This window comes from Homo sapiens, chromosome 6, assembly GCF_000001405.40.
Source record: "Homo sapiens chromosome 6, GRCh38.p14 Primary Assembly".
In the NCBI taxonomy this organism is placed as follows: domain Eukaryota; kingdom Metazoa; phylum Chordata; class Mammalia; order Primates; family Hominidae; genus Homo; species Homo sapiens.
This window is the reverse complement of record NC_000006.12, coordinates 169,702,123-169,718,353: the sequence shown is the minus strand read 5'-3', so window position 1 is coordinate 169,718,353 and position 16,231 is coordinate 169,702,123. Positions and strand designations below refer to the sequence as shown.

Below are 16,231 nucleotides of genomic sequence, written 5' to 3'. Positions count from 1 at the left end.
CATCACTCTTCATTATTGATATTTTCTATGGCTCATAAACTGATTTAAAAGCAAAATGGGAAAGGTGAATTTCCTGAGGAAAATTTTAGAAAAAATCATTTTATAGTCAAGTTTGGGATTTTTACCATTGTTTCTTGATCTAAGGAATAGAGTTAGCTATATGAGCCGTATCTGAATTTGAGAAAGGCTATTCCTCATGAACTAGTTTAGTATAGTTATTTATATGACCTTCTTGCTTTGGATTATTCTATTTCCTATTTTATTCTAACTTTTGTATCTTGCTGAGTTTTATTTCTTGAATTTATAAATTTTTTTGTAGCCCCTTTAATAATATTTGGAATATGTAATATGAATACTTTAAAAAGTCAAGGTTTTTAAGCTTTTAAAAGTTTTACAAGTGCATAAGGTTTTGCTGTTTTTAATAGTCTTTTGATCTTTTTTTTGGAGATTTAGAGCGACGAGATTTGTCTCACAAGGAGAAACTCTACCTGAGAGAGCTAAATGTCATTACTGAAACTCAGTGCACTCTAGGTAAGAATAGCTTTTTAATGTGAATTTTTCAAGCTGAACATTTATGAGATAATACTAGATAAGTATCTTATTTCCTAAAATATTTTACAAAATTAATAAAATAAATTGAACTATTTAAATGCTACATTATTTACTTCATTTTTGATTATTGTTAAAATACACAGGAGAATGAAGCTTGAACACACATGTGGTTCCTGACTTATGATGGTTCAGCTTCATGATGGTGTGAAAGCAATGCATATTCAGTAGAAACCATACTTCAAGTGTCTATACAACCATTATTCTTTTCACTTGCAGTATAATATGTAACAAGTCACATGACATATTCAACACTTTATATTAAAATTTGTGTTAGCTGATTTTGCCCAGCTGTAGGCTAATGTAAGTTTTCTGAGCATGTTTAAGTTAGGCTAGGGTAAGCAAAGATGTTTGGTAGGCTAGATGTATTAAATGCTTTTACTTTTTAGGATAGTTTCAACTTAGGATGGGTTTATCATATGTAACCCCATTGCAAGTCAAGGATCAACCTCTATTCTATAACAGAGTATAATTGTCTAATTTTTCTCTTTTTTTTAACACAGAGTCTCTCTCTGTTGTCCAGGCTGGCATGCAGTGGCGCGATCTTAGCTCACTGCAACCTCCATCTCCCGGGTTCAAGGAATTCTCCCTCAGCCTACCGAGTAGCTGGTACTACAGGCGCATGTCATCACAGCCATCTAATTTTTGTATTTTTATTAGAGACGGGGTTTTACCATGTTGGCCAGGCTGGTCTCCAACTTCTGACCTTGTGATCCACCCACCTTGGTCTCCCAAAGTGCTGGGATTACAGGCATGAGCCACCATGCCCAGCCCTTGTCTAATAATTTTTACAGAGTTTTCAGAGTGTTTGTATTTTTTGTACAAAGCTTGTACAATATATTTTTTTAAGTTGCAGGTTCTTTGCTAAGTGCATGGTGTGTGCGTGTGGTCCCAGCTACTTGGGAGGCTGAGGGAGGAGGATCACTGGAACACAGGACTTTGGGGTTGTAGTGTGCTGTGATCATGTCTGTGAATAGCCACTGCACTCCAGCCTGGGCAAGATGGCGAGACCACATCTCTAAAATGCAAAAAGGCAAATTTTCTTCAATTTTTAGTTCTGTATAATTATGTCCGTGCTTTATTTGTAATCTTTTTTTCACAAACATTTTAATGCAACATGGCTACTTTTTATATAAATTCTTGGGAATGCATTTTAGCAATTGGTGAAATCTGATACTGTGAGTTTTGAAAATTGTCTCCATGGTGTGTGTGTGTGTGCTGATGTTTTTGGTGAAATTTTAATTGATTGTAATATTTCTTGTGTATGGAATTTGAAGACTGGGAACTATAATATGTTGAATTTTTTTTTATTCATCTAGTATTCTGTAGTACTTGTTAGTAGTTAGTGCATTTCATTATTTAACAGTTGTTTCCAACTAAAGGGATATATGTTCAAAGCACATAGAATCTTAAAAATAAACTTGTTTGGTTGAAAAATTGATATATTTGCCTTTTGCAAGATAATCTTTTGATTGCTCGAGTTTATATTGTGAATATTAAGTTTAATTATTTTCAAATGTACTAAGATATTTTGCTTTGGCTATTGGAAAACCATTACAACGTGGAGCGGTTTGAAGAATTAAATTTTGAAGAGTGCTTTTGTTCACTTATCCTTAAAAGAGCTTCTTTATTTTTTTATTTTTTGGTCTAAAATAGGCTTAACAGCATTGCGCAGTGATGAAGTGATTGATTTAATGATAAAAGAATATCCAGCCAAACATGCTGAGTATTCTGTTATTCTACAAGAAAAAGAACGTCAACGAATTACAGACCATTATAAAGAGTATTCCGTAAGTAATTGAGGTGACTGGCATTTTTTATTTGGGTTGGGGAAAATGACATTTTAGAAAGTTATATGTGACTTCCAACTGTATTTTTTTTTTCCAGCAAATGCAACAACAGAATACTCAGAAAGTTGAAGCCAGTAAAGTGCCTGAGTATATTAAGAAAGCTGCCAAAAAAGCAGCAGAATTTAATAGCAACTTAAACCGGGAACGCATGGAAGAAAGAAGAGCTTATTTTGACTTGCAGACACATGTAGGATAACTTAAATTTAGTACCCCCTGAACTTAGTTTATTACTTGTTATTGCAGAGTGCCCATCACCCCCTTTATCGTTATTTTTTGTACCACCTATGTGTGTGTGTTTTTTTTGTTTGTTTGTTTGTTTTGTTTTGTTTTTTGTGGCAGAGTCTGTGTAGCCCAGGATGGAGTGCAGTGGCATGATCTCGGCTCACTGCAACCTCCGCCTCCCGGGTTCAGGCGATGCTTCTGCCTCAGCCTCCCCATTAGCTGGGATTACAGGCGCCTGCCACCACACCCAGCTAATTTTTTGTATTTTTAGTAGAGATGGTGTTTTACCATGTTGGCCATGCTGACACCTGCGTGTTCTTTTTTTCCTCAGAAGTTGAGATGTTATTTTTAATGGTGTGCTTAATAATACTCAATTTACATTTTTTTGTGAGATGTCTTTTGCTTTACGGTTAATAATTCTAAATGAGACTAATAATAGCTACATATCATACTTGCTGTGCGTCCCAAGAGTTTTTAAGAGATTTGCATGTTAATTCTCATAGTAACCATGTGAGGTTGGAACTAGGATTACTTCCATTTCATAAAGAAATTGAGCTACAGAGAGGTCGTATAAGCTACCCAGATCACTCTGCTGTTAAGTAGTGAGCAAGAGATCCACTGCCATTCCTCAGGAGAATAGGCCTTTAAAACAATAATATATAGAACTGAAAGCACCAACTGTCCTCTTAGGTTATAGCTCCTGATATCTCCTAAAATTTTAGCTTTTCGAGGGGGAAGTGGGCGTGCAGTGGTGAGCACGTGGGGACTCTTCCTAAAGCCTTGATTCTTAGCATGGAATCAGTTTTGTGTTTCTCTTTATGTTAACGTAGGTTATCCAGGTACCTCAAGGGAAGTACAAAGTTTTGCCAACAGAGCGAACAAAGGTCAGTTCTTACCCAGTGGCTCTCATCCCCGGACAGTTCCAGGAATATTATAAGAGGTATTTAGTAGTTTTAGTTACAGTTGGTATCGGCTATTGGTAAGGGGTTTCAGAGCCTTTTGTACTTGCCTCCTAACAATTTTGGGGTCTATAGATATCACCGTAAGATATCGTATAGGATTTGTGTTGCTATTCTTCTCTGGTTCTGTGGTAAACAATACCCTGTAGTCAGAATTTGAATATATGCTGGTGAAGTCTAGATGCCTCTGTCTCTGCCCATTCTGTTTGGGTTTGTTAGAGACAGATGCTGGGGGTTCTGTAGCACCTCACTGCTCAGGGTATGTTCCGTGGTCCAAAGCACTGTTATTGCTCAGAAGCTTGTTGGAAATGCAGAATCTCAGGCCCAACTCTAGACCTATGACTCAGAGTCTGCATTTTAACAGATGTCTGTGTGATTCATGTGCAGGTTAGAGTTTGAGAAACACTGACTTTTACTGCAGAGAAGATGAGAGAAGGAGCGGAGAGGGGCAGGCATGGGCAACTGGGTGCCCCAGCCACATTGCTGACCTGGCCTGGCTGCTGCTCCAATATGGACCCTAAATGTTACTTATCTCCTATTCCCAAATTAAATGTAACTGAAAAAAACAGGGCTAACAGATTCTTTTTTTTTTTTTTGAGACAGTCTTGCTCTGTACCCAGGATGGAGTGTGGTAGTGTGATTTCGGCTCACTGCAACCTCTGCCTCCTGTGTTCAAGTGATTCTCCTGCCTCAGCCTCCCAAATAGCGGGACTGCAGGCACATGCCACCACGCCCAGCTAATTATTTGTATTTTTGGTAGAGGTGGGTTTTACCATGTTGGCCAGGATGCTCTTGATCTCTTGACCTAGTGATCCGCCCACCTTGGCCTCCCAAAGTACTCGGATTAAAGGTGTGAGCCACTGTGCCCAGCCCATTTTGTTTTAAAGTCTCAGCTTTTACTTCAACCTTAAGCCTTACTCTGGAACCGTATGTTTTTCATAATATACTATTTTTTAGAGAATAGAATTTAAAATATAGTATCATAACTCACACCATTTGAAAGTCAAATCTTGGGCAGAAATTTTTTAAATAAAAAAAGATTTTTTAAATTCAAATTTAAATCATGAGCAGCAATTTTTTAAAAGTTTTTCTTCAAATTTTTTTTTTTTTTTTTTGAGATGGAGTCTCACGCTGTCGCCCAGGCTGGAGTGCAGTGGCGCGATCTCGGCTCACTGCAACCTCTGCCTCCTGGTTCAAGTGATTCTCCTGCTTCAGCTTCCCGAGTAGCTGGGATTACAGGTGCCCGCCACCTTGCCCAGCTAATTTTCTGTATATTTAGTAGAGACGGGGTTTCACCATGTTGGCCAGGCTGGTCTCGAACTCCTGACCTCAGGTGATCTGCCCACCTTGGCCTCCCGAAATGCTGGGATTATAGGCGTGAGCCACTGCACCCGGCCTTTAATTTTTAAAAATTTTATTTTGGCATCAGCAAATTATTAAAAGTCATATGCAAGTATATTAACCCCTTTGCTTTTTGGTGTGTTGTCTTAGTTGGAGAAGTCTTCATCTAGGGTTGCCTCCTGAATGGGGGCTACTGAGGGTGAGAATGGAGGTGGCACGAAGCAGTGCTGTCTGACCTAGGGGAAGAGATTGCCAATATAGTTTCAGACAAAATAGATGATTAAATTTGTTAGAATACATGCTTCCCAAATTTGTTTACAATAATTGGTTACTAAAAATTTTGCTTTCTATGTTATTATTTTAAGTAATATCATGTACCATGCACTGGTGTGATATGTATGCATTAAATAAGTTAATGCATATATATCAACTGTATGCGGTAGATGCTATTATTAGGTCTGTTTTACAAATGGAGTGACAGCACAGAGAAGTAGCAAAGACCTGGGACAGTGGTCGAGGTGGATGTGAGCTGGCAGCCAGACTTGGGGCTGCTGACATTTTATTTACTTTTTTCTTTTTTTGGGTTGAGGGCAAAGAGGGGAGGCACATTATCTCTTAGTAAGAATCAAATGCATATTTTACATAAGTCTAGTGAAAAGATGTTCAGGCTTTTTATTAACCCTACTTGATGACAAAAATGAAAAATTAGTACTCTAGTTTTCAAAAGTCTTCGGGGTTACTCAAGAAGTTTAAGGCTATCTTCATAGGTCAAAGATGAGTCTGTTTATATTTAATAATAAAGGGAAACCAAAAATAAACTCTCTGAACTTCAGGTACTCACCAGATGAGCTGCGGTATCTGCCATTAAACACAGCCCTGTATGAGCCCCCTCTGGATCCTGAGCTCCCTGCTCTAGACAGTGATGGTGATTCAGATGATGGCGAAGATGGTCGAGGTGATGAGAAACGGAAAAATAAAGGCACTTCGGTGAGAACATTTCTCTCTAGTAGGAAGCATTTCCTTTCTCTTTGAATTTTTGTTACATTGAATTTCTGTCATCACCCTCTCCTTGAAAAAGGATGGTTGCATGTAATTTCCAGAAAGTATTCATCAATAAAAGTTACTTATAGTATGTTTTGATAAAAACAAGCAGTGAATGGCCTTTGGTAAGCTTTATGCTTAAAATCGCCCCTTTGTAGTTACCATGAGCAGTTTAGGCAAGGGTATGGAAAATTAGCTTACAATCATTTATTCAACTTGCTGTCTCTTTAGCTTAAAATATTGAACAAAACAGAATTTGATCTCTTGACACAGAAATGTAGTTTTCTTAGTTGAGGGGAGTGCATTTGCTTAATCTTATGCTTCCTATAGGAAAATATTATGTTTAGTAATATGTTGTACAATTTGTTGGGTTTTCCTGTATGACTTTTTTTTTTGTAGCAAAATGCACCTGCAAGACAGTGGGCAGTTGGTGTATTCTGTGCACCTGAAGGAGAATAAAATCCCAATGATGGTTTGGGGCTTTGATCCCAGTGATGACATAGGGCTTTGAATTTCTTTAGCATTGTGTTTTAAGTAACTGGCTATTTCAAACTTTTCATTGAAGCCAATGTAAATGTGAGATTGTGCTACCATTGAATGGACATTATTTCCTTGTCACCAACAGCTTCTAAAACATCTTTAATAATACATATTATGCAAAATAAGATACTGTTCAAGTATTAAAGTGGTGACACAACTTTTCTCCTGTCATGTTGCTAAAAGGGGAGCTATGGCATGCAAAGGGTGATGAAGCTGACTTCCTTTCATACTGCTAGGAAAAGTGTAAACTAATCCAACATTATGGGAAAGCATTTTGACAGTCTTACCAATTTAAGTTCCATAGTATTTGACCTAGCAAATCCACTAGTAGAATTTATCCTAAGGATTTAATCAGATGCTGAAAAATTTTAATTAGAAAAAAAGGTCCATTTGAGTGTTGACAGTATTTTTTATGCTGGAAGTTACAAATAAATTTTAATGCCCACAGTGGGTAATATTATATTACATTTATAGGATAGAAATGCAGTTCAAAGAATATTTAATGATTGTGAGAAAATGCACATAATGCTTTTAAAAAATACCAAAATACACATATGCATACACACACAGTGTAATCCAGTTTTGTATTTTAAAAAATGAGGGCACAATGAGGTAGGGGGTAATGTGTGAGTCTCGGTATCTTTATGTATATAAGTGGACACCCAGAAAAAAGATAAAGTAGATACATTCATGTTTCTAGTCAGTGTGTGTTTATCAGGGAGGCTCTAGATAACCTAATTTTTTAATTTATAATTTTTGTAATTTATATGAAAGTTCTAATTAGAACATTTTAAATTATAAAATGAAGAATTAAATGATCAGATACTGAGGTCTTAAACCTTGAATATATAAAATATTTCAGATCCTGTTGTAGATAGTTGAGGGATTGGCTCTGCATAGTTTAACATTGTGAAAACACAAATGTGTACTTGAAGGACTTTTTTTTTTTTTTCCTAACTGCAGCGCTTCATTTTTCCTGAAGGACCTTCTTAATGACTTTTAGTACTCAGTGAAAATACCCACACTTATTTGTAACAATATATTTTTGTATGAAACAAATATGTTCCCTTGTGACGGAAAATGATGTTGAAGCTGTGTGCCGTAATAGTAGCTGAAGCGGATAATTGTGTTTTTGTGACTTATGTCAGAAAACAAAGTTGATGAAGGCACTGATATGGAATCAGTTTTATATAATATACTTAGAAGAAGGAGGAATGATTTTTAACATAACTTACTTTAGTCTCCACTGGAAAAAGCTTTCTTACATTTAGAATGATCTTTTTATTTTTAAAATGATAAAGCTTTAAAACTTTCTTTGAATATTTTCCATAGTTTTCAAAATCCAGACTCAAATTTGTCTTAATTCCAAAGAATCTTTGTTTTTGCCTTTTAAACTCCAGGACAGCTCCTCTGGCAATGTATCTGAAGGGGAAAGCCCTCCTGACAGCCAGGAGGACTCTTTCCAGGGAAGACAGAAATCAAAAGACAAAGCTGCCACTCCAAGAAAAGATGGTCCCAAACGTTCTGTACTGTCCAAGTCAGTTCCTGGGTACAAGGTAGAAGAAAAAAGCCCCTGACTCAGCTTCTTTACTGACCAGCCTCTCCCTGAAATATTTTAACTTGACTTTCACGATTGTGGAGCTTCTGCCTGCTGTACCTCACTAGCTGTTCTTCTATGGTGTGCCCTTTGTCCGCTGCTTTCTTTTTTGCTTTATTTCCTTGGTGGCTTTTCTGTCACTTTTGGCTATGGTTTACCTTCTGTTTTCTGTATATGTACAATTTATAAGTCTTTTTTTTTCTTTGAAAGAATAACCAGGCAAGTATGGGTTTTTAAAACATTATTTCATAGGCAGAAGTTTATATTTTCTTTCCTTGGAGTAAAGATCATAATTATTTGGCATTTTAAATGCCCCAGCATTTAGTGTAGCTAAAGCTGCTGAGCTATAAAGTATGAGTGGATATACTGTTAGACTAAGTTGCATTTTTTTTAGTGCCTTTCATTAAGAAAGATCTGGGTTTAATCTAAGGATTATTTGATCCATATGCTAAATTTAGCTAACTCTGGGATAGAAAATAATAAAACCTGTTACTTACATTGTAGTGATTTTTAGCATAACCTTGGTAAAGAGCCTATATGATTCTATGGCAAGAATTAAAACATACTTGTTAACTTGTTGATCTGATTATCCTCAGAGTAAAGGAGTAGGTTGTCAGCAACTATTATTATATTTTGAACTTTTCCTCCCTCTGTCTGCCCCTCCCTTTTCTTCTGAAGAAAAGGTGAGGTGAGAGATGAGTAGCCTTATTTGCATATAGGGATTTAAGAATATCATAAAAGGAAGAATTAGCTGTACAGTTTCATATTTGGGATGGTGGTAGTAAAATAGACTACCTTTTGATTCTTTTGGTCTGAAATGTATTAGAACATGCTTTTATTGCACTTATGAAGGTGTATTGAAGGAAAATTTTAGAGTAAGCTGATGAGAAAGTTTTGCCAAGTGAAATTGTTAAACACCTTGTATGTCAGAACTGTGATTGTGGTAAATAATTCACAAGAACAGGCTGAAGTAAGTCACCTTTCCCTCAAACTAACTAGAACACGTTCTAACATGTTCATTTACCTTTCTTCAAGTAAAAAAAGCGACATTAAGTTAGTGTATTTCATATTTTATTAGGAAATGCTTTTATGTAATTAACTTAAAAATTCTTTTTTTTTTTTGTAGCCTATAGCAAGCAAATTTTAAGCTTAATTCAGCAAGGGTTGGCTTCCAAGGGTGGCTGCAATAGGCTGCAGCTATGTGATTTTTGTACTTGTTTTTACATATATAGCTTATGTAATTTCTTTATATAAATTAATGCTTAATAACTGAAAGCAAGTGAGCTCCAAAGATGAAATTTCAGAAGCAGTATACATGAATGAGTGTGTTCTACTGGTCTGCTAAGAGCTTTAAATGGAAGTGGCCGCTCAAAGCACAGTGTCCTGTTAACTCTTGAGTGCTAAGTAGATCTTTGCAACAGTAAGCTTGATTGATCATGGGTTAAAAAGAGAGAATATTGAAATAGATGTTTTAATACAGGCTGGAAATCAGCTATTCAACACTATCATTGATTTAGTATACAAGAAATCATATGGATTAACTGAACTTAATAGTACTCAAGTAGGATATGCAAAATTTATATTTTACATAATCTGTGAACATTTTTAGTACCTAAAAATGTTTCAGGTATTTCAAAGATGGGAACAACCAGTATCTAGTCATCATACATTAATGTGAACATGCTTATTAAAAGTTAACCTCTTTATAAAAAGTATTAATAAACCAAGATGTGCCTAAATATTAGGGTACTTCAAGCTAAAGGTCATAGTTTATATATAAAAAGTACGAGATTCAAGGAAGTAATGTATCTGATGCTTTGCTTAATAAGATTCACTAGTGCTTGCCCTTAATTCATAGAACAGTATTGTTTAGGTTACATTAACCTGAAATTTAAAGCATAATTATTAGGATTCCGGCCTATAAATACAATAATTAAAATCTATACTATATTATTGCTACCATGAAAGTCTTATCTTTGGCTGTTTTTCAAGTAGAAAAGTAAGTGTACTGTGAGCCTTTTATTTGAGATGCTGAGAGCTATTAGGATGAGTATTTCAGTTTTCTTGTCAATAGTGATACTCTGATGATGTTGCAGTTATTTGAAGTAGAACTGATTGTCTAAACCAGACACACATAGGAGTGTGCTCCATTGGTCTTGTGGAGAGTGCTGCACATTAACCCCTCCCTCAACTGTGCAATCCACTTGAGACTGGCTTCTCTAAGCCACAGTTGTTATCTGCTGTGTAAAGTCCTGGATGCCAGCACTGTGGCTTCTTAGAGAGGGCAGATGCTTTGTATATCGAGCTGCAGCATTCATCGTAGAAAATGCTACAAAGCTGTCTCTCTTCCCCTTCTCTCATGTTTCCCTCTTTTCATCAAGATGAAGGCTGTTGGGTAAGAAAAACTAAGTGATTTAACAAATCATTATGATTTAAACTTAGAAATAAACCTAGAATTTTTTGGTGTCCCTTTTATCATAGGTGTTTAATGTATATTTTAATGATTGTAGAACTTGAATTGCTCTAGAATGTGAATGACTACCCTTGTGTTTTACTCCTTTTGGCTTTTGTTTTGTAAAGAATCTCCTGTGAGGAGTTCTGTTTTTAGAATTTAATATTGTTTGGTTACTTCCCTGACTTTAGTGAAAGATATTAGAGTATTTACTATGCCAGTATCTAACTTAAACTATTAGTATTAAATAAGTATATCTTTTACATTTAGTACAGGTACCATAACCAAGAGATTTCTTAGTTTTGATGGATTAAGAGAGAGCATTCTGCTGTATATTATGGCAGGTACAGATATGATCATAACTGAACCAGAATTTGGATTATAGAAGTGCACTTCCTAGCTGTTTTTTATTTAGGTATAGGAACACACAATGAGAACCTTATGTTTAGAATGTAGCAGTAACAACAGAGGGTAACTACACTGCAAGACTTAAATGGTTTGAGCATGTGACACTATCCTTTTGTTGGGGGGAGCAGGGTATAAAAATATACATACAGGAGATTAGTTTAATAGTAAAGTTTTATATGTATGTTTAACTTCCATGATATTTATTATTTTGTAGAGACATTTGTGATTGTTTAGAGTTCTTGTTTTTATTCTATTTATGTATAAGGTTGACTTTTTTTAAATAAATAAGCCAAAAATTCTTTTTGAATGCCTCTGTCATCTTTTGCAAAGAAAGATAATTTAAAAAGTACAAAACTTAAGAACAAATTGTTTAGGTCTAACAGGTTATGAAGGTGGCAGTGAGACATTTCAAAGCTGGAATATATACAACGTTTGAGTTTTGTTTAGGTTCCTCTTTGGTTCAGTAAATTAGGAAAGGGATGCATTTGGCAGGGTGGGAATAAAGCAGAAATGAAACAATTCTACTTAAAATAATTATTTTCCCAGTTCATCTACGTGTGTGTGTGTGTGTGTGTGTGTGTGTGTGTGTGTGTGTGTGTGTGTGTGTATGTATGTATGTATGTCCCCTTACCCCATTTCATTCTTGGCCCATGCTTGCTCTTCCTTTTTTACCACTGTTATTTACTTATTTCTATAGCATGAGTGAACGTCATTTTGTAACAGTCAAGACCGTGACGTTCGGATGCCCTCCCTCCCCTGGTAATTTTAAGTGCAGTGAACCCTTTTTCCTTTGTCATTTCCATGTGTAACCAAATATGTCTAAAATTCAGACACCTTCACTGGACCATGCATGTTTTTAATCTGAAAGATCAGTAGTACTCAGAGTGTTCGTGTATTTTTTAAGTGACTGCAATTTTTTTTTGCTTGTCTGAAAACTTATTTTTCCCTTTTATAATTTTACATTTTATAGTGAATCTTTCTAAGTATAGATTCTTTTATTAGACATGCAAAGAGAATAATCACACAACTAAGTTTTCCACAAACGTTTATGTACACGCCAATGTATGCATGAGACATCTTTCAATTAAAAATGTTTAAACTGATTTTTTTTTAAATACCACTATACCAATGAGGATAAGCTGATTTTTTAACTTAGATTTTATAGCTCTAGTTTTGCAGTTTTGGAAAATAGCAGGTTTTAAACAAAATTAATATATGAGCTATTTAAAATGGTCTTTTTAGAGTAAGTCTTACACATAATGGTCATTTGCTACTTGGATTTTCTTGTCCAATTAATAGTGACATTTGACATTGTATTTAGTCTTTCCTTCCATTCATTAAACAAATCTTACTGTGCATGTAGGGAGTATAGAATGCTACATTTAATCTTACGAGATCATGCTGTTTACCAAATTTTATGATGAAATTAATGCTTTCTTCAGTAGGCAGTCTTACATTGTAGGCAGACTCCTGTCAAGTTTTGTCTTTCAAAATGGTCCTCATTAGCAAGTTACCAAAAGTAAAAATAGGGCAATAAAGTAACAGAATTCCTTTTAAACCCATAGTAAGCTCTTCTGGCATGAATTTATAGCCCTCTTCTACCCTTCCAGCCAAAGGTCATTCCAAATGCTATATGTGGAATTTGTCTGAAGGGTAAGGAGTCCAACAAGAAAGGAAAGGCTGAATCACTTATACACTGCTCCCAATGTGAGAATAGTGGTAAGTATTGAAATGTCTTTTTAAAATTTTAACCACCGTATTTATTGGTTCAAAAACTAGAATTTATAGTTTCAGGCAGATTTCAACCAAAGAGTCACCAAATTAAATACACAGGGTAGCTTGTGAGGCATAGACACAGCCCATGTGTTTTCCTCTACATTGTATATTCATTTCTCTTTGGCGATTTGACATTATAGCCATTCTCTGGAAGTCCTAAAGCAAACTAGTATTTTATGTGCCATATTAAGTTAAAATTTCTTATGTGAGATACCACTAATACTGGTTTTGATTTAGGCCATCCTTCTTGCCTGGATATGACAATGGAGCTTGTTTCTATGATTAAGACCTACCCATGGCAGTGTATGGAATGTAAAACATGCATTATATGTGGACAACCCCACCATGAAGAAGAAATGATGTTCTGTGATATGTGTGACAGAGGTTATCATACTTTTTGTGTGGGCCTTGGTGCTATTCCATCAGGTAAAGATTAAAAAAAGAGCAAACATTATCTTTGGGTGATGAGACTCTCCCAGCACTCCAAAAGGCTGCATAAACGCTATCATGACATGAAGAGCTTGTGGACTCTTATGTGCAAATATGACCAAAGCTGTGATTATACAGGTCATGTCCACCAGCTTTTCATCCCTAGACAATTCCAACTAAAGGATAAGTGAAAGGCCAGAATGCCCCTGCTAAGTTTTGGAAGTATAGTTCTATAGAATGAGCTGGTGTTTTTCTACTGAAATACTAAAGTAACAAAGCCTTTATTTTTATATGTTATCTATTTAGAAACAACAAAATGACTGCTACGTCTTTATACATTTCTATAGAAATCTATTATAGATTTCTGTAAATTGAGGCAGCATGACAATTCCAGATAACTTTAGAACAGAGTTGAATAAATCACAGTAATTGGACTAAAACATTACACAGATAATTGTGTAATTTTAGAACTTACTTGCATAGTTAACACTGTATAATACTCTTATAAAATATATGCCTACAACGAAGTTTCCTGGGAATCATTAAGCAAGCAACATAATTATTTTTCTGTAGTAATTCAGATCAAGTATGTAGTACAAGTTATCATTGTGCTGTTAAAGTTTTAAAGTGCTGTCAGCAGAGTACACCAGGACTTGAAAGAATGCTGTTAAGACACACAGCTGCCAGTGAGCAGGAGAGAAAAAGTCTTAAAAAAGCCAAATTCCGGAATGGGTTTTGACCTTTTGAAGTATGATAGTGTTTGAATTTCAGGAAAGATTGTACTTTCTTAAAGGTCCGTATCACCGTATGGCATTGCATCTCTCCCATCCCCCTTGACTTGCAATGAATTTTGCATGGCATTGATTACATTGATTAAGTTTACATTTTTTCCTTAAATTAAGGAACTCATAGTGCCCTTCTCACCACAAAATCCAGAGAGGAATATCATTAGTGATAGCTAAGGCAGAAGAGTTTAGATGGGCTTAAAATTCAGTCCTGTAAAGATAATTTTTCATTCTATATTAACAATTTTTTTCCTAGGTCGCTGGATTTGTGACTGTTGTCAGCGGGCCCCCCCAACACCCAGGAAAGTGGGCAGAAGGGGGAAAAACAGCAAAGAGGGATAAAATAGTTTTTGACTCTAATACTGTATATGCATTTAAGTGGAATATTTGGTGCCATTTACAACATTATTTTCATGCCAATAAAAGATTTTTTTTGCAAATTATGAGCTTAAAATCTGCAGTTATTTCTGTTAAAAGCTACGCTTACTCTCGAAACTAACTCCAGGTAGAGAATTCATCTTCCAAAGTATTTTATAGTAACCTTGGCTCACTCCAAAAATTCAGTGGAAATGTTTAGTAACTTAAGATACTTAACTGTTTCTCCATAGCCCCAAAAGTTAATTTTCATGAAACTTCCTAATCTACATTGTTTCCGGCCTACCATAGGTAGCACTGACAAAGTTATTTAATAACTGAAGAATTTTCATAGGTATGACAAATGGCCCACTAAGATTTGGTGCAGCTGGATTTAGAGTTGTCATTATTGGACTGGTACAGGAACAAACTTTGTAAATACCTGCCTGCCAGGAAATCCTTTTTGTATAGAAAAGTACCATCACCTACTTGGGGTACAGGCATGAGGCTTTAGTCCAGGCTCAGGGAAGTGTACGTAAATCATTTCCAACTTGATTTTAGTAACTCTTGAAAACTTACACCAACTTCGGTTAGAATCTCCAGAGTAAAATTACAAAGTTATCAACCTTTTGATTTGTGTCACAGCATGAAAGGTTGCTCTATTTTATATAAACCTGTTACTGCAATCATTTTTAGTCAACCTGCCTAATGAAAATGGAGTCTAAACACTTTGTGCACAGTCCTTTTATAGGAATTATGATCTTTAAAATACTGTGCTTGCTGCTTTTCCTATTTTTGGGGTAACTGAGGTAACAAAACTGCGTATGGCTTTATTTTTCCATCCCTTGACTAAAGGTACCTAGAACTTCAACCAAGTACAAGTAGCAAGGTTCACAGCAAACTGCAATCAGCTTCACAGATGGAGGGTTTTATATCCCAGAGTGTGGTCAACGACTCAAAAGAGAATTTCAAGTACCAGTTTCAAAATGCTAATTAATATCGTCCAGAGAACAGATTCCTCCTCTTGCGAGGCGTCTTCCGGGGCACCAGCGTGCTTCTGGCCGGCATCTGCGCCGTCGGCGGGGTAGGCGGCCTCGCCGAACGGGTGCTGCTCGACCGTGCCGTCGTAGTACACCTTCATCTCGAACTCGCTCTCCAGGTGGGAGGGGTGTCCATAGACGCCGATGCCCACTGGGCGCCGGAAGTGCGCGGGGATGGACACGGCGTCCGGGCCGCAGGTGGCCGATTGCAGCTCGTAGTCGTCGAAGCTGGGGTGCAGGCTGCTGGCGGAGACGTACAGATCCGCATCTCCCTTGAGGCTGCGCATCCTGAGGACTATCTTGCCCTCGTGGTTCAGCCGCAGGTAGCTGTAGTTCCCGGCGCCTATCTGGCCCTGGACGACGTGCAGGAGCACCCACTCCTCGGGGACCTCCTCCTCGTCCGCGCAGCTTCCCGGAGACAGGACCTGCGAGGCTAGGAGCAGCAGCAGGGCCGTCGTCCAGGGCGCGGCCCTCCCGCGGGGAGCGGCCATGGCTGGCGGCTCAGCTCCGGGGCCTGCAAGTGGGTCAGTGCTGCTGGGGACACCGGAGGCGCTCAGCACCGGAGCCTGTCCCCGCCGTCCGCACGCGGGTCCACGGCGCGTCCAGGCGCCTGGTCTGTCGCTGGGACTGTCCCTTCCCACCCGCGTGAGGCCCCGGGGAGGAGGGGTGGGTTAACCCCTCCCCCGTAGCGCGGCGCCCACTCAGGGCAGGGGCAGGGGCAGGGGCAGGGCCGCTGTGGCACCCTCGGACTCACCACCACTCCCCGCAGGGGGCCGCGCTTTATACATCCGGACCCGAGGCCGGAGCCTCGCCGGAGGCGGAAGTGAC

At 37.5% G+C, this 16,231-nt stretch overlaps 2 protein-coding genes across 4 annotated transcripts in view, besides 1 other annotated feature; one reads left to right on the top strand and one right to left on the bottom strand.

The window, feature by feature from the left end:
• The window catches only part of PHF10 (PHD finger protein 10), a 20,599-nt gene extending 6,147 nt beyond the window's left edge, over positions 1–14,452 (top strand). The window contains exons 4-12 of one of the 2 annotated variants that reach the window (NM_133325.3): positions 454–531; positions 2,266–2,399; positions 2,497–2,646; positions 3,512–3,621; positions 5,815–5,968; positions 7,963–8,118; positions 12,630–12,738; positions 13,033–13,221; positions 14,266–14,452. In NM_133325.3, the coding sequence (NP_579866.2) occupies positions 454–531; positions 2,266–2,399; positions 2,497–2,646; positions 3,512–3,621; positions 5,815–5,968; positions 7,963–8,118; positions 12,630–12,738; positions 13,033–13,221; positions 14,266–14,351 (1,166 nt within the window). In that variant the 3' untranslated portion in view covers positions 14,352–14,452. Of the gene's footprint in view, positions 1–447; positions 532–2,265; positions 2,400–2,496; positions 2,647–3,511; positions 3,622–5,814; positions 5,969–7,962; positions 8,119–12,629; positions 12,739–13,032; positions 13,222–14,265 lie in introns of both variants that reach the window. The other variant, NM_018288.4, reaches the window with a different exon arrangement.
• On the bottom strand, positions 11,994–16,228 carry C6orf120 (chromosome 6 open reading frame 120). 2 transcript variants are annotated; one of them, NM_001317342.2, is made up of 2 exons: positions 16,158–16,228; positions 11,994–15,917 (listed from the first exon to the last, which is right to left on the bottom strand). In NM_001317342.2, exons 1-2 carry the CDS (start codon positions 16,189–16,191, stop codon positions 15,319–15,321), a joined length of 633 nt encoding a protein of 210 aa, NP_001304271.1. In that variant the 5' UTR covers positions 16,192–16,228; the 3' UTR covers positions 11,994–15,318. The 2 variants fall into 2 exon arrangements, with proteins under 2 accessions (NP_001304271.1, NP_001025034.1); NM_001029863.3 differs by having other exon boundaries at positions 11,994–16,228.
• Positions 15,862–16,231: a silencer, noted in NCBI's record as "silent region_17797". NCBI's record gives its function as "represses an Ori minimal core promoter by ATAC-STARR-seq in GM12878 lymphoblastoid cells {active_cell/tissue: GM12878}" and the evidence as "EXISTENCE:reporter gene assay evidence [ECO:0000049][PMID:35858748]".

Excerpts from the sequence above, each read along its gene's own strand:
- C6orf120 (NM_001317342.2), bottom strand. The coding sequence starts at position 16,191 with ATGTATAAAGCGCGGCCCCCTGCGGGGAGTGGTG. Across the intron at positions 15,918-16,157 it reads GCCCCCTGCGGGGAGTGGTG|GCCCCGGAGCTGAGCCGCCA; the intron begins GTGAGTCCGAGG and ends ACCCACTTGCAG.